The sequence below is a fragment of the Homo sapiens genome, chromosome 8 (assembly GCF_000001405.40).
Source record: "Homo sapiens chromosome 8, GRCh38.p14 Primary Assembly".
Taxonomy (NCBI): domain Eukaryota; kingdom Metazoa; phylum Chordata; class Mammalia; order Primates; family Hominidae; genus Homo; species Homo sapiens.
The window spans coordinates 70,077,362-70,102,867 of record NC_000008.11 but is presented as its reverse complement, the minus strand read 5'-3'; the positions used below and the strand labels follow the sequence as shown (position 1 = coordinate 70,102,867).

General features: G+C 45.8%; 1 pseudogene, besides 2 other annotated features; it reads left to right on the top strand.

Moving 5' to 3' along the window:
• Nucleotides 13,980-14,274: a silencer, noted in NCBI's record as "tiled region #5072; K562 Repressive DNase matched - State 8:EnhW". NCBI's record gives its function as "represses a minimal TATA promoter and a strong SV40 promoter by Sharpr-MPRA in K562 cells {active_cell/tissue: K562}" and the evidence as "EXISTENCE:reporter gene assay evidence [ECO:0000049][PMID:27701403]".
• Nucleotides 14,177-14,236: a silencer, noted in NCBI's record as "silent region_19267". NCBI's record gives its function as "represses an Ori minimal core promoter by ATAC-STARR-seq in GM12878 lymphoblastoid cells {active_cell/tissue: GM12878}" and the evidence as "EXISTENCE:reporter gene assay evidence [ECO:0000049][PMID:35858748]".
• RNU1-101P (RNA, U1 small nuclear 101, pseudogene) lies at nucleotides 24,836-24,962 on the top strand (annotated as a pseudogene).

Below are 25,506 nucleotides of genomic sequence, written 5' to 3'. Positions count from 1 at the left end.
ACAGAGTGCTGGCCCTTAGCATTTGCAGGGTGATCCCTGCTTTTGCACCCCGGAGAATGACTGTAGGCTACCACAGATGTAACCAACTTCATTTCTGATTGCACTGCAAGGCTGGATGTGATATTGTCACCGTGGCAGACTAGGCATCAGGTACGTGGTGATGCAGCCAGTGATTTGGCAAGTGCATTCCTTTCCATTGTAATTAGAAAAGAGAACCAGAAATATTTGCTTTCAAACAAGAGAAACAGGAATATTCATTTATAGTTTATTTCAGGACTATATTAAGTTTCCCAACATCTGTCATGATATAGTCCAAAGAGAACCTGGACCACGCAGACATCAAGCAGAACATGACGCTGACCCATTCTATCAGTGACGTTGTGCTGATTGCACAGGACAGATGAGAGGCTCATATACCAGAAGTCTTGGTAAGCTCGTGGGAAGTAAATGCTATGATGACTCAGGGACTGGCTGCTTCAGTGACATTTTGAGAGGTCCAGTGATGGAGGGCATGCCAAGATAACCACTTCAAAGTGAAAGGCAAATTGCTGCATCTGGAATCTCCTACCACAAACAAGGAGGCACAGCTCCTGGTAGAGCTATTTGAGTTTTGCAGGTAACACCCTACACTCTGAGGACTACTATTCAGTGCCTTCCACATGCAGGAATACTTCTCCAGCCTGTAAACCAGGTGACACAGAAGGCTTCCAGCTTTGAGTGAGGCCTGGAGCAGGAAAGGGTTATGTGACAGGTCCAGGCCACAGTGCAAACCACACTGCAACTTGGACCATCTGATCTTCAGACCCTATGGTGTTGGTGGGGTAGGGGTAGTCAGCAGTTGGAAAGGAGGCAGCGTGAGGGGATGGGTAATGGCGAGCTCTGGTGGAAGAATCAGATCGCAGCCTCCTGGGATTCTGGAGCAAGACCATGATATCCACAGCAGAGCAGCTTATGCTGTTTGAGAAGCAACTGTTACTGGAGCCTGGTGGAGATAGAACCCTTGGCTACCAAACACCATGTGACCACACGTCCATAAGTGACTGCTGGGAACTGGGTTCTGTTGGACCCAACAAGTCATAAAGTCACATGTGTCCAGCAGCAATCATAAAATGGAAGTGATCCATCAGGATTGGGTCCTGGAGGGGCCACAGGGCATGAGTAAGCTGCATGAGCAAGAAGCCCAGAGGCCCATGTCACCCATAACAGATGCACCCATGCCCTCCCCTGGTTATGTGTACAGCCTACTAGGGAGAGTCCATATGACTGGCTAAATAAGAAGGAAAAAGCCCAAGCTTGGTTTACAGATGGATCTGCTCAGTTCATGGGTAGAGCTAAAAGCGGACATTAGCCACACTGACGGGTGGCCCGGAAAGAGGGAACAATGTTCTCAATGGGGGAAGCTGCAAGGAGTAGATACGTGTGAGGAAAAGTGGCCTGAAGGGAAAATATGTACAAATTCCTGGCCAATGACCAATGGTCTGAGCATCTGGTCAGGGACTTGGAAGGAAACAGATTGGAAGATTGGAGACAAGGAATCCTGAGAAAGAGGCATGTGGATGTGCATATGGAAATGGGTAGACAGTTCAAGGACTTCTGATTTGCATGTTAATGCCCACTGGAAACATCTACCACAAGAGACGCACTGAACAACCAAGTAGACAAAATGACTTGCCAGTGGACATGAGCCACCTTCAGTCACCCCAGAACGGCTGGAGACATGAATGGCATGCCCATGGTGGCAGAGACGGGGCTCTGCTTGGGCCCAACAACGTGGATTTTCACTTACCAAGGCAGAGCTAGCCATTGCTGCCTCCGAATGTCCAACTTGTGAGCAACAGGGACCAATACTGAGCCCCAGTATGGCGCTATATCTCCAGACCAGATCTGTGAAAGGCAAACACATCGTGCCCCTTCAATCTTGGAGGGTCAGCAGTTCATCCTCACCGCTTTAGATACCCGGGCATGGATTGACCTTCCCTGACCACAGATCCTCTGCCAGGCTTGGGGGATTCCTGATTCACAAACACAGAATTACAAGGAGCAGAATATCTGACAAGAGGCCCAACTTCCTAGTGAAGGTGGGGCAGGAGGGGGCCCCTGGCCATAGGGTCCATGGTCATATGACAGACTGCTCCAGGTTGAAGCAGCTGGCCTCACAGAGCTTGGGAGCAGCTTCCTGAAAAACAACGGGAAGTGCTAGCTCGGAGGCATACTCCTTCAGGATTCAACTTATGCACTAAATCAGAAACCTCTAAATGGCACTGTGTCCTTAATCAGAGAATATGTGGATCTGGGACTCAAGGGATGGAAGCAGGAATGGCCCCTTTCAACATGATTCCCAATAGCCCACTGGGGAATTTTATCCTTGTCATCCCCGAAACTCTGGGTGCTGCAGCGTTGGAGGTCCTGATCTCGAAGGGAGCACACTTGCCAGTGGACATGGTAAGGGTCCATTGAACTACAAGTTACGGCCGCCACTGGCACACTTAGGACTTCACATGCCCAGAACCAGCAGGTGAGAAGAGTCACTACAGTGGCAGGGCAATTAACCCTGATTGGCAGGAGGAAGTAGGGCTGTCCAGTGCATCCCAGAATTGCCTGGATCCATTGTAACTGTGAATGGACACATGCAGCAAATCTGGACTGAAAGACTCAGAGCCCTCAGGAATGAAGATTTGGGTCACACCCCCAGGGAAGCCAAGGCCTCCTGAGGTGATTGCTGAGGATGAGGGGAATTTAGAATGAATGGAGGGGGAGAAAGAAGGCAAGTGCCAGTTGTGGTCTCAAGACCAATGGCATTGATGGCGACTACAGTTCATCCCACTGAATTCTCTCTTCTCAGTTTTCCCCAAGAAAGAGAAGTCCACAGAAATCACAGAGGAGCAGACCCGAATATATGTGAAGAAATAGATCTGTGAAGAAAGAGGTGAACTATGGCATAACAGCAATATTTAATGAAATAAAGACAAAATTTTCCAAATCTGATGAATGATATACATCCACAGATCCAAGAAGCTCACAAGCCTCAAGTAGGATAAAACGCATGCACCACCCACACTCATTTACTTATAGACACATCAACATACACGCACCAAGACGCACCACAATCAAATGGATGAATGCCAGTGATGAAAAGGGAAACCATAAAAGCAGCCAGAGAAAGATGACGCATTACACACAGGTGAACGGCATAAGAATGACTGCAATCTTCTTTTGATTTTTATTTTTTAGAGATGGAGTCTTGCTATGTTGCCCAGGCTGGTCTTGAACTCCTGGCCTTAAGCAATCCTCCCACCTCAGCCTCCCAAGAAGCTGAGATTACAGTTGTGTACTACCATGCCCAGCTGGTGCAATCCTCCAGTCAAAAACTACACAAACCAAGGCTGGGCACTGTGGCTCATGCCTCTAATCCCAGCACTTTGGGAGGCTGAAGCAGGAGGATTGCTTGAGACCAGGAGTTCAAGACCAACCTGGGCAACATAGCAAGACACTGTCTCTACCAAAAAAAAAAAAAAAAAAAAAAAAAAAACACTTCACAAGTCGGAAGAGAAGACGTGTGACTGGACAATGAAATATGACTAAAATTCTTAACATTTCAGTCAATGAAGTCAATTCAGAGGAGAAATATGAGTTCTGGTACTTGTCTGGACACCCAGTAAAACCAAAATGTACTAGAATAAAAACATATAGAATGATTCTGAATATCTTGGAGGAAAACCCCAGAGACAATAATGGAGCACTCTTTTTCCCTCTCCTCTCCTCCTCTCCCCTCCCCCCTCCCTCCTTCTCCCCTCCCCTCCCCTTCCCTCCCCTCTCCTTTTCTTTCCTATCCTTTGCATTTCAATGGCTACAATTGAAGCACTCTTTAATTCCCAGATCACCAATATTCTTAAGACAAAGAGGATAATATTACACAAAAAACACAGACAGCTGGGCGCAGTGGCTCACACCTGTAATCCCAGCACTTTGGGAGGCTGAGGCGGGCAGATCACCTGAGGCTGGGAGTTCAAGACCACCCTGACCAACATGGAGAAACCCCATCTCTACTAAAAATACAAAATTAGCTGGGTGTGGTGGCACATGCCTGTAATCCCAGCTGCTCGGGAGGCTGAGGCAGGAGAATTGCTTGAACCCAGGAGGCGGAGGTTGTGGTGAGCCGGAGATGATGCCATTGCACTCCAGCCTGGGCAACAAGAGCAAAACTCCGTCTCAAAAAAAAAAAAAAAACCCAGACATTGGCCAGGCATGGTGGCTCATGCCTGTAATCCCAGCACTTTGGGAGGCCCAGGCAGGTGGATCACGAGGTCAAGAGATCGAGACCATACTGGCCAACATGGTGAAACCCCATCTCTACTAAAAATACAAAAATTAGCCAGGCATGGTGGTGGGCACCTGTAGTCCCAGCTACCCAGGAGGCTGAGGCAGGAGAATCACTTGAACCCAGGAGGTGGAGGTTGCAGTGAGCCGAGATTGCATCACGGCACTCCAGCCTGGCCACAGAGCAAGACTTCGTCAAAAAAAAAAAATAATAATAATAATAATAGAAACACAGACATTGAAAACTCCAAGTCAAAAAGTGATTCATTAGCACTGGATTCTGAGTGTGAATTTTAGGAACACCTTAACCAAATTATTTCTCTCGTATTTTCTTTTTCACAAGAGTGATATATGATTAAAATTTATGTCTAGCAAGTCTAAAATAGCTCTTTCAATAAATATAAAAAGTTAAATTCTAAGTGATAGGATGAGGTTGTCATGGTTAAATTGGCAGCATCTTTTTCATTATTATGGGTTATAAAATAAAAGTTCATCTTTCGGCCGGGTGAAGTGGCTCACGCCTGTAATCCCAGCACTTTGGGAGGCTGAGGTGGGTGGATCACCTGAGGTCAGGAGTTCGAGACCAGCCTGACCAATATGATGAAACTCCATCTCTACTAAAAATACAAAAATTAGCCAGGCATGGTGGTATGTGCCATAATCCCAGCTACTCGGGAGGCTGAGACAGGAGAATTGCTTGAACCCGGGAGGTGTTCAATATCGGCCACTGCATTCCAGCCTGGGCAACAAGAGCAAAAAGTCTCAAAAGAAAAAAAAAGTTAATATTTCGGCCTGGTGTAGTGGCTCACCTGTAATTCCAGCACTTTGGGAGGCTGAGGCAGGTGGATCACCTGAGGTCAGGAGTTTGAGACAAGCCTGGCCAACATGGAGAAACCCCGTCTCTACTGAAAACACAAAAATTAGCTAGGCATGGTGGTAGGTGCTTGTAATCCCAGCTACTTGGGAGGCTGAGGCAGGAGAATCACTTGAACATGGGAGGCGGAGGTTGCAGTGAGCTGAGACCGCGCCATTGCACTCTAGCCTGGGTAACAAGTGAAATTTCATCTCAAGAAAAAGAAAAGTTCATCTTTCAACAACTGAAGACATTTAGATTCTTTTTTTTTGAGACAGCGTCTCACTCTGTCGCCCAGGCTGGAGTATAGTGGCATGATCACGGCACACTGCAGCCTCACCCTGCCTGGGCTCAGGTGATCCTCCTACATTAGCCTCCCGAGTAGCTGGGTCTATAGACACACAACACCACCTAATTTTTGTATTTTTTGTAGAGATGGGGTTTCGCCCACCATGTTGCCCAGGGTGGTCTCAAACTCCCAATCTCAAATGATCCACCCACCTCGGCCTCCCAAAGTGCTGGGATTATAGGTGTGAGCCACCACGACTGGCCCTAGATTCAATTAAATAAGATTATTTAACACTGTTCAAGGAAAAAGAGCCAACATAGTAAGACCTGAAACAAGATACCTCACTAGTTTCAGAAGAGAATTAAAGAACCTACTGGGGGTGGGTGAGGTGGCTCTCGCCTGTAATCCCAGCACTTCAGGAGGTGGAGGCTGGTGGATCACTTGAGGTCAGGCAGTTTAGACCAGCCTAGCCAACACGGTGAATCCCCATCTCTACTAAAAATACAAAAAAAGTAGCTAGGCGTGGTGGCACATGCCTGTAATCCCAGCTACTCAGGGAGGCTCAGGCAGGAGAATCACTTGAACCTGGGAGCAGAGGTTGCAGTGAATGCCACTGCACTCCAGCCTGGGCGACAGAGCAAGACTCTGTCTAAAAAAAAAAAAAAAAAAAAAAAAAAAGAAGCTACTAGGCTCATAAGAAATGGGTGAAAGGGGCCAGGTGCAGTGACTTACACCTGTAATCCCAGCATTTGGGGAAGCTGAGGCAGATGGGTCACTTGAGGCCAGGAATTGGAGAGCAGCCTGGACAAATTGAAAAATCTGGTCTCTACGAAAAATACGAAAAATTAGCCAGTTTCATAACCCATTCTCAAAAAATAAATAAATGGCCGGGCGTGGTGGCTCACGCCTATAATCCCAGTACTTTGGGAGGCCAAGACAGGTGGATCACGAGGTCAGGAGTTCGAGACCAGCCCGACCAACATGGTGAAACCCTGTCTCTACTAAAAGTATAAAAATTAGCTGGGCGTGGTGGCACATGCCTATAATCCCAGCTACTCAGGAGGCTGAGGCAAGAGAATTGCTTGAACCCAGGAGGCAGAGGTTGCAGTGAGCCGAGATCGTGCCACAGCACTCCAGCCTGGGTGACAGAGCGAGACTCAGTCTCAAAAAAAAAAAAAAAATTAAATAAATAAAATAAGTACAGACAGGATCTCCCTATGTTGCTCCCTAAATAAATAAAATAAGTAGAGTTCAGGCTGGTCTTGAACTCCTGGGATCAAGTGATCCTCCTGCTTTGGCCTCCCAAAGTGCTAGGATTACAGGCATGAGCCACCACACCCGGCCAAGACCCTGTCTCTTCAACAAAAAATTTATTTTAAATTAAGTAGGCATGGTGGCTCACACCTGTAATCTCAGCATTTTGGGAGGCTAAGGTAGGAGGATTGCTTGAGCCCAGGAGTTCTAGGCTGCAGTGAGGTATGATCACGCCACTGCACTCCAGCCTGGGCGACAGAATGAGACCGTCTTTAAAAAAAAAAAAGAGTTTTGAGGGAAAATAGGAGGAGGCAAGGAATAATAGGGAGGCAAAGAACACAACAGAACTCCAAAAATAAATTATCTTAGTGATTTTGTAAAGATCTCTGAATTTTTAGTTGAGTTATTTCTTTTCCTTTTCTTTCTTTTCTTTTTTTACCTAGCCCAGGACAAAGATGAATAGTTGGATAATTTCTATTAACCTACCTTCGCTGATCCTTTCACCAGCTCTGTTGAGTCGTGTGGTAAGTTTATTGAAGAATCTCTGGCACCAGCTGTTTAATTTCTAGCACTTATTTATTTATTTATGTTTGAGAAAGTCTGGCTTTGTCACCCAGGCTGGAGTGCAGTGGCCTGATCTCAGCTCAATGCAACCTCGGCCTCCAGCATTTAAGTGATTTTCTTGCCTCAGCCTCCTGAATAGCTGGGATTACAGGCATGCACCACCACACCTGGCTAATTTTTGTATTTTCAGTAGAGATGGTGTTTCACCATGTTGGCCAGGCTGGTCTCAAACTCCTGACCTCAAGTAATCCTCTGCCTGCGCCTCAGCCTCCCAAAGTTCTGGGATTACAGGTGTTACAGATGTAAGCCACCCTGCCTGGCCTTTGTAGCACTTTTTTTTTTTTTTTTTTTTTTTGAGACAGAGTTTCTCTCTTGTTGCCCAGGCTAGAGTGCAATGGCGCGATATCAGCTCACCGCAACCTCCGCCTCCCGGGTTCAAGTGATTCTCCTGCCTCAGCCTCCTGAGTAGCTGGGACTACAGGCATACGCCACCATGCTCAGCTAATTTTGTATTTTTAGTAGAGACAGGGTTTCTCCATGTTGCTCAGGCTGGTCTCAAATCCCTGACCTCAGGTGTTCCGCCTGCCTCAGCCTCCCAAAGTGCTGGGATTACAGGTTTAAGCCACCGAACCCAGCCCTTTCTAGCACTTTACTTGACTTTCTTTCTTTGTTTCTTTCCTTCCTTCCTTCCTTCCTTCCTTCCTTCCTTCCTTCCTTCCTTCCTTCCTTCCCTCCCTCCTTCCTTCCTTTTTCTTTTTTTTTGAGATGGAGTCTCACTCTGTCACCCAAGCTGGAGTGCAATAGCACAATCTCGGCTCACAGCAACCTCCGCCTCCTGGGTTCAAACGATTCTCCTGCCTCAGCCTCCTGAGTAGCTGGGATTACAGGTGCATGCCACCACACCCGGGTAATTTTTGTATTTTTAGTAGAGACAGGGTTTCACCATGTTGGCCAGGCTAGTCTCAAACTCCTGACCTCAAGTGATCCACCCACCTTGGCCTCCCAAAGTGCTGGGATTACAGGTGTGAGCCACCACACCAGGCCTTTCTAGCACTTTTTTTTTTTTTTTTTTTGAGACAGAGTCTCGCTCTGTCCCCCAGGCTGGAGTGCAGTGGCCCGATCTTGGGTCACTGCAAGCTCCGCGTCCCGGGTTCACGCCATTCTCCTGCCTCAGCCTCCGGAGTAGCTGGGACTACAGGCGCCTGGCACCACGCCCAGCTAATTTTCTGTATTTTTAGTAGAGATGAGGTTTCACCATGTTAGCCAGGGTGGTCTCGATCTCCTGACCTCGTGATCTGCCCGCCTCAGCCTCCCAAAGTGCTGGGATTACAGGCAAGAGCCACTGCACCCGGCCTCTAGCACTTTTATTTGACTCTTTCTTGCTGTTTTCATCTCTGTGCTGCAATTTCCCATCTGTTCATGCATGTTGTCCACCTTCTTCTCTAGAGCCTTTACCATAGTCATCACAGGTCTTTGAAATTCCCTGTCTAGGCTGGGGGCTGAGGCAGGAGAATTGCTTGAACCCGGGAGGTGGAGGCTGTAGTGAGCTGAGATTGTGCCACTGCACTCCAGCCTGGGTGACAGAGCGAGCCTCTGTCTCCAAAAAAAAGAAAAAGAAAAATTGACAACAGGTATCAGGAGTCTTTTTTGTTTGTCCCATTTCAGAGAATCTTACCTAAGGCAAATAATACGAAATACAGAAAAACTGTGAGCACAAACTTATGTTGGCATTATTTATATTATTGAAAAATTGGACATAACTTAAGTCAATGATTCTGTCACCTATTATATAGGCTATTAACCTTCTATGAACTTTTCATGATGTTCACACAAAAATGAAATCACCCGGCAACTCTGCTCTCAGAATGCATCCCTGTCGTTAAGCGACACATAACTGTAGTATCAGTTTTCTTAGTCTTTCCTCATTAGACATTTTTAGCTGATGAAATTCACATAACTTTTTTCTCTGACTTTTTTCCAACGTTTGTAAATATGCTATAATGATAATAAACTGCGTACTTTCATCATCAGAAACGCCTACGCACAAACCTCCTGCAGAGAAAGCAGAATGTTTCTCCCACTGGGGGGCCCCAGACCCTGAGCTAAGCAGCTGCGATGACCTCCCAAGCGAGGGAGTAACCACGGCAATTGCTTTGCCTTCTCCCTGTGAAAGTTCGCTTTTCACTGTTTGTTCTCTTGTTCCACAGCTGGCCATTGTCCCGCTCCTGATTTGGACTGTCTACTTGCCTTTTCCACAGAGACACCGGCGCCCTCGGCCCAGCACCCTCTTGCCAGTGGTTTCTCATAGAGACGAGCTCTCTCTTAATAGTTTCTATGTGGTCTGAACAAGAGGATTTTTAAATTCCTCTTGGAATTTAAAAACAAAACGAAAACACAGAAAATGATACTTCCTAAAAAGTAAGTGCCTTCTCTGAATCTACCCTTTTCCAAACTGCCCTACAAAGAACATATTTCAATTCAATTCGTGTATATTTATGAAGTATGTGCAGTGTGGCAGGAACTAATGGTGTGGAGGCCAGGGGTCAACAGATGGGTAAAATCCAGGACTTCCAACTGAGCCCACGGTCGCCAGGCCATGTGGTAGGAGCACGTGAGTAAGCGGTGGACAAGGTAGAAATGGGGCTTCTTGATTATTAGACTGCTCTGGATTCAGCATGCTGAGGCCTTGGGTGCAGCTGGCCAAATGGAGGGCAGCTCATGCGGAATCAATGAGCTCTCTCACAATACAACAAAGCTCCAATCACCAGGAAGCTGACCTCACAGTCTAGACTCAGATCCCTGGATTCATCGACCCCTGTGGGGTCCTCTTGCATCCAGTGCCCACCAGCCCACTGACTCCCTCTAACGCCCTGTTCTGTTGTCAGAATCTGTGCTGCTGAATGGTGAGTTCAGCCTCTGGTGGACCCCTCATTCCCTGGTTCTCTTCATTGTCCAGAATCTCCTGAGACTCCCAACCAGTAGGTAGTGGAGTCGGAACATGCACTTGGGTTGGCCAACCTGCGATCTAGGGCTCCATCACAAAACACACTGCCCCGTGGTCTGGCCTCAGGAAATTCGAGAGTTTCTGAAGAGGTGTGGATGGATGCCGGATAGACCCGCGGGACACCCCTGCAGCCTCTGCAGTGCATTGGCAGATGCTGTGGCGAGGCTTCTCTGGGTATTGTGAATATCCTGCATGTGTATCAGGGACTTAAGCACTTCTATTTCTGCTGCCTGCCAGGCATGTGTCTAACTCCAGCCCAGGTAGTGGGGGCTCCCCTTAAGAAAATGCCATGCTGTGGACATGATAGTGAAAGTGGCATTTCTGAGTGAGCAGGAGCATTTTTGGCTGAAAGGTGGAAAGGAAGATGCGCAGGAGGGGCTGCAGAGGAAGATGAAAGGAAAGAAAATGATGGAAGCCAATGTAATTCACTCCTTCACTGACCAAACAAATATTAAGGTCAGTGCAAAATTGTGGTTTTTGCCATTATTTACTTACAAACTGCTTTGAAAGGGCAAAAATGAATGCCTTATGGTCTACCTGGAAGATACAAATATAAGTAAGCAACTACAGAAGTAGGGTACCTGGGCTGGGCACGGTGGCTCATGCCTGTAATCCCAACATTTTGAGAGGCCCAGGTGGGAGGATTCCTTGAGCTCAGGAGTTCGAGACCAGCCTGGGCAACATAGCAAGACCTCATCTCTACAAAATACAAAAAAGAATTAGCCAGGCATGGTGGTGAGCACCTGTAGTCCCAGCTAAGTGGGAGGCTGAGGTAGGAGGATTGCTTGAGCCTGAGAGGTCAAGGCTGCAGTGAACTATGATTACACCCCTGCACTACAACCTGGGCAAAGGATCAAGACCCTTCCTCAAAAAAAAAAAAAAAAAAGTAGGGCAGAAAGTTATAGTCCTCCCAAGTGAAGTAAATTATAGGAAATAGGAGTGACTACTTTGCATTGGAAGGTTTTATAGAAATGGTGGTATTTAATCTGTTTCCAAAGGTCAGGAGTTGAGCTACTGGAGTTGAGGAGGTATACTCTCCAGGTAAGGAGTCCAGCACCACCAGCCTCTTAACTAGAAGGGAGACTTCCTGGGACCAAGCGTGGAGAGAAACTGCAGGGCTATCCCTGCTAAGACCAAAGGCCCACCTTCCAGCCTCTTCTAATAGACAAGCAGGCTCCGGGGAGGGACACAGGGGCAGCCAGTCCCAGGCTCTTTCATCCAAGGTAGGCAATAGCCTTTTCCGATGAACTAAGCCCAAACTGGTCGTTGGCAAATAAAGCTACTTGCTCTTGTTAAGACTATGTCTTTCTGGTCGGGCGCGGTGACTCACGCCTATAATCCCAGCACTTTGGGAGGCCAACATGGGCAGATTACTTGAGGCCAGGAGTTCAAGACCAGCCTGGGCAACATGACAAACCCCGTCTCTACTAAAAAATACAAAAATTAGCCGGGTGTGGTGCCACACACCTGTAGTCCCAGCTACTTGGAGGGCTGAGGCAGGAGAATTGCTTGAACCTGGGAGGTGAGGTTGCAGTGAGCTGAGATTACACCACCGCACTCCAGCCTGGGTGACAGAGCAAGACTCTATCTTAAAATAATAATAATAATAATAATAATAATAATAATAACAACAACAATAATAGGCTGGGCATGGTGGCTCATGCCTGTAATCCCTACACTTTGGGAGGCTGAGATGGGTGGATCACCTGAGGTCAGGAGTTTGAAACCAGTCTGGCCAACATGGTGAAACCCCGTCTCTACTAAAAACACAAAATTAGCTGGGCATGATGGTGCGCGCCTGTAATCCCAGCTATTTAAGAGGCTGAGGCAGGAGAATTGCTGGAACCCAGGAGGCAGAGGTTGCAGTGAGCCAAGACCACGCCATTGCACTCCAGCCTGGGCAACAAGAGTGAAACTCCATTTCAAAAAAATAATAAAATAATAATAATAGATGTCTTTCCCAGATGTCTGGGACCATCACCATGTATCAAGGCCCCTACCCTTCAAGCTAGGCAAGGAGTTCTTTGAGGACATTTAATCAGTGTAGAAAGACCGAAGAGGCAAGCTGGGCTTGGTGGCTCATGCCTGTAATCCCAGAACTTTGGGAGGCCAAGGTGGGCGGATCACGAGGTCAGGAGATGGAGACCATCCTGGCTAACATGGTGAAACCCCGTCTTTACTAAAAATACAGAAAAAAAAAATTATCTAGGCGTGGTGGTGGGTGCCTGTAGTCCCAGCTACTCGGGAGGCCTCATGAGGCAGGAGAATGGCATGAACCCGGGAGGCGGAGCTTGCAGTGAGCAGAGATTGCGCCACTGCACTCCAGCCTCTGCGACAGAGCGAGACTCCGTTTCAAAAACAAACAAACAAACAAACAAACAACAACAGAAAGACTGAAGAGGTTGTTCTTGCAGAAACAGGATTCCTGGGAGCAAACAATTCCCTGGGACTATTCCTCAGCAGAGGTCCTCGGGAGCCTCTGAGCCCTCAGTGACTGGGTCTTAGAGACGAAAGAATGAAAAACAGGAAAGTGAGACAAACTCCAGATATTATTGTTGTTAATATTAGTGCTGTTTATTACTCATGAGAGTAAAAGCATGAAAGTGTGAAGAGAGGGAAAAGTAGGAAAGAGAAAGCGAAAAAACGATCATTTGCCCTGAGAGACATGGCCGCCAATCATCACACAATGCCCAGGAGAGTGATCTGTGGGGCCCCTGCAGCAAGTGTCAGAGAGAGAGGGGGAATCAGAAAGTGCCCCTCAAAGCAGGTTCTTAAAGGGAAGAGAAGGAGAGGACCTGGCAAGAGCTACTGCTTTTCTTTTTATTTCTTGCCTCCACCAGGGACCCATAAGATGAGCTATAAATCATGAGGCCGGCATGGTGGTGGGCACCTGTAGCCCCAGCTTCTCAGGAGGCTGAGGTAGGAGGATCTCTTGACCCCAGGAGTTCAAGGAGGTAGTGCACAATGATGGTGCCTGTGAAGCTACTGCACTTTAACCTGGGCAATATACTGAGATCCCACCTCTAAAATAAGATGAGCTGGCCGGGTGTGGTGGCTCACGCCTGTAATCCCAGCACTTTGGGAGGACAAGGCAGGCGGATCACCTGAGGTCAGGAGTTCGAGACCAGCCTGACCAATATGATGAAACCCCATCTCTACTAAAACTACAAAAATTAGCTGGGCATGGTGGCATATGCCTGTAATCCCAGCTACGCGAGAGGCTGAGACAGAAGAATCACTTGAACCTGGGAGGCGGAGGTTGCAGTGAGCCAAGATCACGCCATTGCACTCCAGCCTGGGCAACAAGACAGAAACTCTGTCTTAAAGAAAAAAAAAAAAAAGATGAGCTACATATCACCTCTCTAGGCTGACCATACACACACACACACACACACACACACCCCACACACACAAACACATCCCTACCTTTCTGGAACAATTCTAACAAACTTGAGCAAAAGGAACTGTGAACAAAATTTTATCTATACTTGCTTTCCGAAGACTGACAACAGTCACGAGATGTCAGAGTTAATGTAATAAGAGGAAAGAATGGAAAAGAGAAGTTCAGCATTCATTTGGTTTAAAACTAATGAAATATGATAGAAATTTCAAATTTGTCTTTTCTTTCCCTACTTCTCCCACCATTTTAAAAACAAGGAAACGAAGCCTAGATTTGCAAGAATAAAAGGTTTGGGTTTATTTACCTGTTGGACTCTATACCAGTTATTGATTTATTGCCTCTCACCTCTGAATTCACCTTATTTGACTGCTTTGCGAAAATAAATCTGAACCTTTTCAAGAATTTGCCGTTGGCACCGAAGTTTTGCCAGTAGAGGGCGCTCGAGAAACATTGCAGGAGAAAGAGTTTTGCCTCCGGCTCGGTGGAGTCTCAGCGGGGTTGGCAGGGGCGCGTGGTTTCGCTGGCCCCCAGCGCCTTTGGCTCACAGGTTCTCCAGGGCCCTCCTGCTGCCATACACAGCCAGCAACACTCAGTGGCCAGTGGCTTTCCCCTGCAACCTCCTAAGGTGGTTTGTAGCCAAGGCGCGGTAGTGAGACATCTTCCCATAAACAGCTTTCCCCAGCACCCTACAGGACTGATTTCTAGCAAGTTTCACCATTATGGCATCACAGCAACTTGTCCGCCGTTCAGTAGCCATGACTGAGCCATGGATCTCAGCCCACGGAGTATGGAGTTGGTAACACATATATTATTGCATAATCATGCCAATCTCCTGCTATAGAGAATAATTCTTTATAGTAAGCTTTTCCTGTTCAAATTACTATATGGTTTTTCTCTCTCTGGATTGGTCCTAGATGGATACAGACATTTAAACAAAGCTGGCTCCTACTGTAGCTGCATCAGATTTGCAGGGGGGCGTGCAGTGCGGGGGTGGGGGGCTGTCAGGGGTATGGGTTGGGGGGTGGTGTAGGGTAGATCATGTTTCTGAAGACAAAAATTTTGTACATAGGAGTAATCTATTGTATTTGTTGGCCAAGCATGGTGGCTCACGCCTATAATCTCAGCACTTTGGGAGGCCAAAGTGGGCAGATTGCTTGAGCCCAGGAGTTCAAGACCAGCCTGGGCAACATGGAGAAACTCTGTCTCTACAAAAAATACAAAAATTAGCCAGATGTAGTAGTGCACACCTGTTGTCCCAGCTGCTTGGGAGGCTGAGGTGGGAGGATCACTTGAGCCCAGGAGGTTGAGGCTGCAGTGAGCCATGATCAGGCCATTGCATCCAGCCTTGGCAACAGAACAAGACCACGTCTCAAAAAAAAAAAAAAAAAAAAAGTATTTGTTGCAAATTATCAAAACTGCAACAATTAATGAGAAACAGAGACAATTCTCCATTGTTCTGTACATTTTGTGAGTGCAACAAATACCCTCTATTCTACACTATGTTTTCTCTTTTTTTTTTTTTTTGAGATAGAGTTTCGCTCTTGTCATCCAGGCTGGAGTGCAATGGTGCAATCTCAGCTCACTGCAACCTCTGCCTCCCGGGCTCAAGTGATTCTCCTGCCTCAGCCTCCCGAGTAACTGGGATTACAGGCGCCTGCCACCACGCCAGGCTCATTTTTGTATTTTTAGTAGAGACGGGATTTCACCATGTTGGGCAAGCTGGTCTCGAACTCCTGGCCCCAAGTGATCCACCCGCCTTGGCCCCCAAAGTGCTGGGATTACAGGTGTGAGCCACCACGCCTGGCTCTGGACTGTTTTCATATAGGATGTTTGAATGGCCAACCACATGGAAAATATAGTGTCTCCCTCTAGAGACAAGAGTAAGTTCGTTGTCTTGGAAGATAGAGCAAAGGGCAGGTGTGCTCACTGCCCATTATAAATGATAAGATTCCCAACTCCCTACACACCTATAATGCAGCCTTCTGTGTGCACTGGAGTCATCTGACCCTCCACATTGCCCTGTGGGATTAAGACTTTGAGAACTCGTGCAAAAATGTTGGTAGTCTGGCTGTTGCTGTTGCTGTGAGTGATAAATTGCCCTTCAGCTCTGGCCCTGGATTCTGATGTCTTCAACCAGCAACCATGAAGCTATGGCAGGCTGCCTTGGTAACTTGCAAGTAAGGATGAAATCTCAGATCTTTCACAGATCTTGACAATGGGTTTCTTGTAGACAATCTATAGTCAGAACTTGTACTGTTTTTTGGAGTTTGTTTTTATTCAATCTGATAAACTCTGCCTCTTAATGGCATAGTTAGACCATGCACATTTAATGTAATTATTGACATGCCTGGGCTTAAATCTATCATCATTTTCCTTCTGCCCCAAGAACTTCCTTTTTAAAGCTATTTTTATTTTTATTTATTTATTTTTATAGACATGGAATCTTGCTATGTTGTTCAGGCTGGACTTGGACTCTTGGTCTCAAGGGATCCTCCTGCCTCCACCTCCTGAGTAGCTGGGACTACAGGTACAGACTACTACACCCAGTTAAGAGCTTCCTTTAGCATTTCTTGGAGTGCAGGTCTGTTAGTTATAAATTTTCTCTGCTTTCGTTGGTGTGGGAAAGTATTTATTTCACCATAATTTAAAAAAGATTTTGGGGGGTAGGTCGGGCATGGTGGCTCATGCCTATAATTCCAGCACTATGGGAGGCCAAGGTGGGTGGATCACATGAGGTCAGAGTTCAAGACCAGCCTGTCCAACATGGCAAAACCCCAACTCAATACAAAAAATTAGCCGGGTGTGGTGGCACCTATAATCCCAGCTACTGGGGAGACTGAAGTGGAAGAATCACTTGAACCCAGGGGGTGGAGGTTGACTCTGTCTCAAAAAAAAAAAGATTTTTTCAGGGGCACAGAATTCAGGTTGACAGTTCATTCAGTATTTTAAAGATGTCTCTATATTGTTTTTATAGTTTGCATTGATTGTAATGGAAAGTTTGCTGTCATTCTTACCTTTTTTCATCCTTAGGTAATGTCTTTTTTTTTGTTTTTTTCTGGTTGGTTTTAAATATTTGTTATCAGCACTTTGGTGTTTTTTGTTTTTTTTTTTGAGACAGAGTCTCACTCTATTGCCCAGGGTGGAGTGCAGTGGCACAAGCTCAGCTTACTGCAGCCTCGACCTCCTGGGCTCAAGTGATCCTTCTACCTCAGCCTCCCAAGTAGCTGGGGTAACAGGCATCCACCACCGTGTTGGCCAGGCTGGTCTCAAACTCCTGGCCTCAAATGATCCACCCACCTTGGTCTCCCAAAGTGCTGGGATTACTGGTGTGAGCCGCACCTGGCCTAGCATATCTATACTAACTATTTTATCATATTTCTCTACTAATTTCATAATTGCTATCACTTCTGAGTCTGTTCCTATGGATTGTTTTGTATTTTGGTTATGGGGTCCATTTTCTGCCTTCCTGCATGCCTTTCTTTTTTTTTTTTACTAGATGCCAAAAATTGTGAATTTTACATTCTTGAGTGCTGGATTTTGTTCTATTCCATTAAAAACTGTTGAACTTTGTCCTGACATGTAGTTACTTAAGATAGGTTTGACACTTGCTTTTGAGGCTTGCTTTTAAGCTTTGTGAGGGCAGGTCCGGAGCAGCCTTTAATGTGGGACAATTTTTTTTTCCCACTCTTTAGGTAACAGTCCCCAATGCCCTATGTACTGTGGTCTCTCCGTGCCGGGTGACTGGAATGAGAAGTCTTCTCAGCCCTTGGGAAGATCCTGGAATTGTCTGGCCCACTGCTCTCTAGTGGCTTTCCCTGGCCTTGTGGGGTTTCCTCTCATACATGAGTAGATCAGTGCTCACCTGAAGACTCAGATCCCTTTGCAAATTTCCAGACCCATCTTTCTGTGTGGTTTCCCCTTCACTAGTATCCTGTGCACAAATTCTAACCACCTTGCCTCACATCATTAAAAAATAAGCCCTCGGCCAGGCGCGGTGACTCACGCCTGGAATCCCAGCACTTTGGGAATCCAAGGCGGGTGGATCACTTGAGGTCAGGAGTTCAGCCTGGCCAACATGGCGAAACCCTGTCTCTACTAAAAATACAAAATAAGCTGGGTGTGGTGGCTCCCACCTGTAATTCCAGCTACTTGGGAGGCTGAGGCAGGAGAATCGCTTAAACCCAGGAGGTAAAAGTTGCAATGAGCCAAGATCATGCCACTGCACTGCACTCCAGTCTGGGCAATAAGAGTGAGATTCCAACTCAAAAAAGAAAAAAAACAAAACAAAAACAAACAAACAAACAAACAAAAAAAACCCTTAGATCTCTGTCTTCAACTCAGCCAGCCCAGGGGATTTAATTTGGGGACCTCTTTCTGTTCTATGTCATAGAAACTGCCTCAGTGGTAAACTTAGGCATCCTACCACTTGGCTCATTTGTTTCCCTTCTCTCGGGTGTCACAGTTCCTGTGCTGCCTGCTGCCCACCGTCTAAGAACAGCTGATTCATATATTTTGTCTAGTTTTCTATTGTTTATGGCAGGAGGTCAACTTCCCTGGCAGTTCATCCTTCATAGGCAAACAGATAATCCTGTATCATAGATTCATAATGTATTGCCAGATTTCAGTGTCTCATTTTATTTGCAATTTTGCACTTTCTCATAAAAGTGAGATTGCGTTTTTAAAGTTTTCTATCTTGGTGGGGTGCGGTGGCTAACACCTGTAATCCCAGCATTTTGGGAGGCCGAGCCAGGTGGATCACCTGAAGCCAGGAGTTTGAGACCAGCCTGGCTAACATAGCAGAACCCTGTCTCTACTGTAAATACAAAAATTAGCCAGGCGTGGTGGCACACACCTGTAATCCCAGCTACTCGGGAGGCTGAGGCAGGAGAATCACTTGAACCTGGGAGGTGGAGGTGGCAGTGAGCCGAGATTTTGCCACTGCACTCCATCCTGTGAGACAGAGTGAGACTCTGTCTGGAAAAAATAAAAATAAAGTTCTCTATGTTTATCTGTCTCTACTGGACATGAGGTTTACATAGACTTCTCTAATCATTACTTTAATCTTATCTTTATCTATGGATATGTTTTCTTTCTCATTACTATTGCTGTATATTTCTTGTTTTTTGTTTATTTTTTTCCTTCCTTGGTTATGTTTGCCAAAGGTGTATCAGCTCCAATGATTTTTCCAAAGCAGCAGCTCTTGGTTTTATTTATTAATTTCTTTATTTTTAGTTTGTTAATCCATCAAGTTTAGGATTTTTTTTTAAAATAAATCCTTTCCTCCTGATTTCATTAAGTGTATTTAGTCATTCTTTCTCTAGATTCTTATCTTGAATTCTGATTTTGTTTATTTTCTATTCTATGTAAATGTCAAAATTGGCTGGGCATGGTGGCTCACGCCTATAATCCCAGCACTTTGGGAGGCCGAGGCGGGCGGATCATGAGGTAAAGAGTTCAAGGCCAGCCTGGCCAACATGGTGAAACCCCGTGTCTACTAAAAAAACCCAAAAAATTAGCAGGGCGTGGTGGTGCACAACTGTAATCCCAGCTACTGGGGAGGCTGAGGCAGGAGAATCGCTTGAACCCAGGAGGCAGAGGTTGCAGTGAGCCCAGATCGCACAATTGCACTCCAGCCCAGGTGACAGAGCAAGACTCTGTCTTGAGAAAAAAAAAAATGTTAAAATCATTTATGGTTATGATTTTTTTTCTACCTATGGCTTTGGCTGTCACTACTGTGAATCAGAACACACACCCCCCATCAGTTGTGGAAGACAGAAGCAGAATGATAGCTCTGTTGGTTATGGAATTATAATTGTACAATGTTTTGTGCTTCGAGTATCACTTCTTTCTTCAAGTAGAACCTCACCTCGGTTATATCAACCATGACCTTGAGGAATCAACCAAAGAGTCATTCCAGGTTTGATATCCCATCTCAGGAGCTTCCCAACCCAACCTGTAAGAAGAAGGAAAAAAAAAAAAAGCACACCCATTTCCCATTTCAGGATTGTATGTGGGTGTTTTTACGGTTTGTTTATCTCATAACAGGTTGTTTATTTAAGGAGGAATGATTCCACAATTTGGAGGTCCCATGGAGACTCAACTGTGACTCTCTGCCATTGCCAGGACTCTGCATCTGGGCATCTGGTGGTGGCGGGGGTGGGGTGAGGGCTGGTCTCTCTTCCGCTTGCATTTTCTGGCCTCAGCAGAGAGGGGAGCCGCACACTAAGTGTGAGCTCCAATTTCATTGACGTGGCTAGTTTTCTCAGGAAAATCATATTTTACCCACTGAAACTCCACTTTTCTGAGTAGACCTATCTTTCTAATGATTCTTGGTGGAAGTATGCTCTTTGCCTAACCTTATCTTTATCTTGTCCTTTCTTATATTGTGTAATGACATGGAAAAAAAGCAACAAATGATCAATCCACAGAGTCCCAATGCGTCCATGACAAAAGGACTGACAAGTGTAAGGTCTTGTCACACCAGTCTCCCTCGGTAGATGAAGTTTGCCTTGGGTAACCATCTAAAAACCTTATGAAGTCTATTATTCCCCTAGCTATCCTTAAGAACTGATTTGGGAAAAAAAGTCTCCAAAAACTTTGATCATCAGGGGCTGCAGTTATCAGTTCTTTGGTCAAAGGCAGCTAACCTCTGGTTGTGGGCTGAGATCAGAAGTACACAAGCAGCAGGTTTGGTCCTTACCAATTCTCAAGGGGTTGTCTCAGTCCAAGAAAGCCCATGCCATGCCTCCTGGATACTCACTTCTTTTCTTTTTTTTTTTTTGGAGACAGAGTCTCACTCTGTTGCCCAGGCTGGAGTGCACTGGTGCAATCTCGGCTCACTGCAACCTCCACCTCCCAGGTTCAAGCAATTCTCCTCCCTCAGCCCCCTGAGTAGCTGGGATTACAGGTGTGCGCCACCACACCTGGCTGATTTTTGTATTTTTTGGTAGAGATGGGGTTTCACTCTGTTGGCCAGACTTGTCTTGAACTCCCAACCTCAGGTGATCCGCCTGCCTCTGCCTCCCAAAATGCTGGGATTATAGGCATGAGCCACCATGCCTGGCCTGGATACTCACTTTTTAAACATATTCTTTGTTTTTGTTTGTTTGTTTGAAACAGAGTCTTGCTCTGTTGCCCAGGCTGGAATGCCATGGCATAATCATGGCTCACTGCAGCCTCGACCTTCCCGGCTCAAGCAATCCTCCCACTTCAGCCTCTCAAGCAACTGGGACTACAAGCATGCGCCACCACGCCTGGCTTATTTTTAAATTTTTTATAGAGACAGGGGTTTCCTGTTTCCCAGGCTAGCCTAAACTCTTGGTCTCAAGCCATCCTCCCACTTCGGCCTCCCAAAATACTGGGATTACAGGCATGAGCCACTGCGCCCAGCCTTTAAACATATTCTTGTTATTCTTATGCGTATCTTACAAAGTGACACAATTTACCAAATGACCACTTTGAGGAACTTTAAATGTGACCAAAATTATCCATTTTAGGAACATCTTAAAACAAAAGAGCAAAAAAAGGGGGAAGTAGCAAATGTTTAATATTTAATTGTCAGCCTTTTATGACCGATATGAAGAACCTGAGAATCTAGAATAGTGCTTGGAAGCAATGGTCCCAATCTCCCTGATGTACATCACCTAGTACATGTATCTAGATGCTAACCCTACCTTAAAGAGTCCACTGGAAGGACCTGGGAAATAATCTATGTATTCCTGAGGACCAGCAAACAGAAAGGGACTTTTAAGAAGCACAAAATGTAGTGCAATCCTTACTGAAGGCAATACCTACTTTATTTTGAGTAGAGATTCTCTGGTCATTAATCCAGTTTTTTTGTGTTTGTTTTTTATTTTTTTTTTAAAGCAAATTCATTAAAAATTTTAGAAATTGCTGGGCATGATGGCTCACACCTGTAATCCCAGCACTTTGGGAAGCCAAGGCGGGCGGATCACTTGAGGTCAGAAGTTCAAGACCAGCCTGGCCAACATGGTGAAACCCCAACTGTATTCAGGGTGTTGGGTGCCTATTACCCAGCTACTCAGGAGGCTGAGGTGGGAGAATTTCTTGAACCCGGCAGGCGGAGGTTGCAGTGAGGTGAGATTGCACCACTGCACTCCAGCCTGGGTGACAGAGGGAGACTACGTCTCAAAAAAAAGAAAAGGTTTTAGAAATCACCTTCAGACAACAGTCTGGGATAGATCAATAGGCAGATGTTTTGCTACATTATCCTCATTGCTTATGAACGGCCTTTAGCCAAAATTCAGGGGTTTGGTACTTAAAGGCTAGAATAAGAAATAACTCCACTAACAGCCCTATAGCATGTGTCCAAATCTTCTGAGAAACTCTTAGAACAAAAGTAGAGTAAGATCCTAAACAACTTAACGGTTTTTCAAATTAAACAACTGGATGACCTCACAACCTCCACAATCCCCCCCAGCAAAATGCCCAGTGATAAGAATACTTGCTGCTACTCTGAACAAAAGAGACGATGGAAAACCAATTGTCTCACTTTGGGCAAAAAGGAATCTGACAGATAATGAGACAGTTCCAAGAGAGAAGATGGCATCCACTTCTGAGTCTTCCCTTAAAACTTGCAAGAAGATATCATTAACTCTTCTGGGCCACACTCAGGGTTAGGGGTGCAACATTTTCAACAACAACCCTGCCACTAAGTTCACTTCTTGTCCTTGGAGTCAGCAAAAACCAAGAGGTGGATGTCTCCATCTGCCTGGCCACTCCCTGTATCCTGGCCACTGTTATTCTTGGTCTTTTTACTAAAAACACCCTTCTCTTGTGACATCACACCAGCATAAACTTAATGAGGAGTCTTTATTATGAAAATGGAATCACCAGATTAAATTTTCCTAGAAGGGAGCTCTTCCTTGAAACTCATGAGGGTGTCTCTATTCATAATCAAATCATAGCTAATTTGGATACAGATACATAAACCAGACACAATTTGAAGATCTTTGTGAGGTACCAAGTCCTAATGAGCCAAAAATGTATCACCATTTTAGGATTACTGGGGCTGAGCACATCAAGGTTCAGACTGACCAGGTCCCAACCTTCACCCAGCCTTGTACAATTCCCTTGAAGCCAGAAGAAAAAAATTAAGGCCCATAGTAGAAGGACTAATAGGCAAAAGACTCATTATTCCTTGGACCAAACCTTCTCACGCTCCTATCCTGAGTATTAGGTAACTCAACGCATGAGTGCGCAGATTTATTCATGATCTTAGGGATATCGTTAAGATAATTATTCCCCACATTCCAGCAGTGCCAAGTCCAAATACTGGACTTTGTTCTTTCCCCCAGTCCCGCCCAAGGCCATCTATTTCACAGTTGTGCATCTATGTTCTTCCTTCTTTAGAACCTGTTCTCTGTCTTTTTTTCTTTTTTTTTTTTTTTTTCGAGACAGAGTCTCACACTGTCGCCCAGGCTGGAGTGCAGTGGCACGATCCCAGCTCACTGCAACCTCTGCCTCCTGGGTTCAAGCTATTCTCCTGCCTCAGCCTCCCGAGTAGCTGGGACTACAGGTGTGTGCCACCATGCCCAGCTGATTTTTTTTTTTGTATTTTTAATAGAGACGGGGTTTCACAATGTTGGCCAGGATGGTCTGGAGCTCTTGACCTCGTGATCCGCCCACCTCGGCCTCCCAAAGTGCTGGGATTACAGGCGTGAGCCACTGGCGCCCAGCGAACTTGTTCTCTTAAATCAATGCCTGTTCTCCTGTCCTTAGGAGAACCCACAGTACATGTGGATTGTTATGCCTCAGAGATTCACTGTGGTTCCTTACTTTTTATAAGTTCTTAGGCCAGGCGTGGTGATGGCTCACCCCTGTAATCCCAGCACTTTAAGAGGCTGAGGCGGACAAATCTCTTGAGGCCAGGAGTTTGAGACCAGCCTGGGCAACATGGTGAAACCTCGTTTCTACAAAAAATACAAAAAATTAGTTGGGTGTGGTGACACACACCTGTAGTCCCAGCTACTCGGGTGGCTGAGATGGGAGGATTGCTTGAAACTGGGAAGTCAAGGCTGCAGTGAGCTGAGATCACACCACTGTCCTCCAGCCTGGATGATGGAGTGAAACCCTGTCTCAATAAATAAATATAAATAAATAAATAAATAAATAAATAAATAAAATGAAATAAGCTCTTAATCAGAATCTCAAGGACCTTAAAGTTCTTCTATAGGATGAGCTTTTGCTAATCTCTGAAGATTAGAAAAGCACTAAAAATGAATTCTTTCTACCTTCTATTTTTGCACAAAAGGACACAGGTGCTCAAAAAACTTGAAGTTTTTTCAGAAAAAAGGTTCATTATCTAGATCATGATCTGTCTCAGGCAAGTCTCTTCCCTCTGATTGACTGAACTTCCACTCAGAACTGCCCTAAACTCACCACTGAAAACTAATTGCTACGTCTCATGAGGGATTGTGGACAGGGAGCTCCCAACTTCTCTGCAATTACTTCTTCTTTAGGACCCGACTAAATTCTTGGTGACAGACTTGCCTCTCCTGGGAACACAGCATGAACAGACATTTTACACGCTAGAGCTAGCTCTTCAACAAACCCCATCCTTGACTGCTCTAACTTACCATAAACATTTCTCCAGGTTCATAGATGATCTGCTCAGGTCCTTGAGGTTTTAACTCAATGACAAGAAAACCACCCATGGGTTCCAGCCTGGCCAACATGGTGAAAACCCGTCTCTACTAAAAATACAAAAATTAGCCGGGTGTGGTGGCAGGTGCCTGTAATCCCAGCTACTCGGGAGACTGAGGCATGAGACTCACTTGAACCCAGGAGGCAGAGGCTGCAGTGAGCTGAGATTGCACCACTGCACTCCAGCCAGCCTGGGTGACAGAGTGAGAATCTGTCCCAAAAAAAGTCCCAAAACCAACAAAACAAAAACAAAAACAAAACCACCCATGGTTTACTGTAATGTCCCTGCTCCCTACTCTACTGGCAAAGGCCTATCTACCTTGTCTCAAGGCAATGGCAGTCATTGTCAACTCGGGGAGGCTTCTGCTTACTTAGTTTTGGGATCTCATGAACCCAATGGTCTCCCAAGTTGTATAATCACTGCTACTTAATCAAATGGACAACATTTCTAGCTGAGCCACCTTGCATCCTATGAAATATTGTTACAATATACTTACCTGACCAGGAAGATTCCATGATCATGAAGGTGGTTTTCCCAGGATGAGGCTTATCCATTGCACTCCAGATGTGCTGACCCTTGAAATTTCCCCAGATACAGGAAACTTGACTGCATTGAAAGGAAAGAAAGAAAGAAAGAAAAGGAAAGGAAAGGAAAGGAGGAAGGAAGGAAGGAGAAAGAAATAAAGAAAGAAAGAAAGAAAGAAAGAAAAAGAAAAGAGAGAGAAAGAAGAGGAAGAGGAAGAAGAAGAAGAAAAAAAGAAAAGAAGAAGGAGAAGAAAGAACAACTAATGCAATAATGCCCGGGTATGGGGGCTCACATCTGTAATCCCAGCACTTTGGGAGGTGCTGGGATTGGATGGATTACTTGAGGTCAGGAGCTCGAGACCAGCCTGGCCAACACGGCAAAACCTTGTCTCTACTGAAAATAAAAAAATTAGCCAGACTTGGTGGTGGACATCTGTAGTCCCAGCTCAGTCCTGGGCTGAGGCTTGAGAATCACTTGAACCTGGGAGTGCGAAGTTGCAGTGAGCTGAGATTGCGCCACTGCACTGCAGCCTGGGCGACAGAAAAAAGAAATATTGTTCTTTTCCCTATACATATGTCTGTCAATCACTGTGGTTATTTGAACTCTGCCATGCTCCTTCCATCTCAAAAGAAAA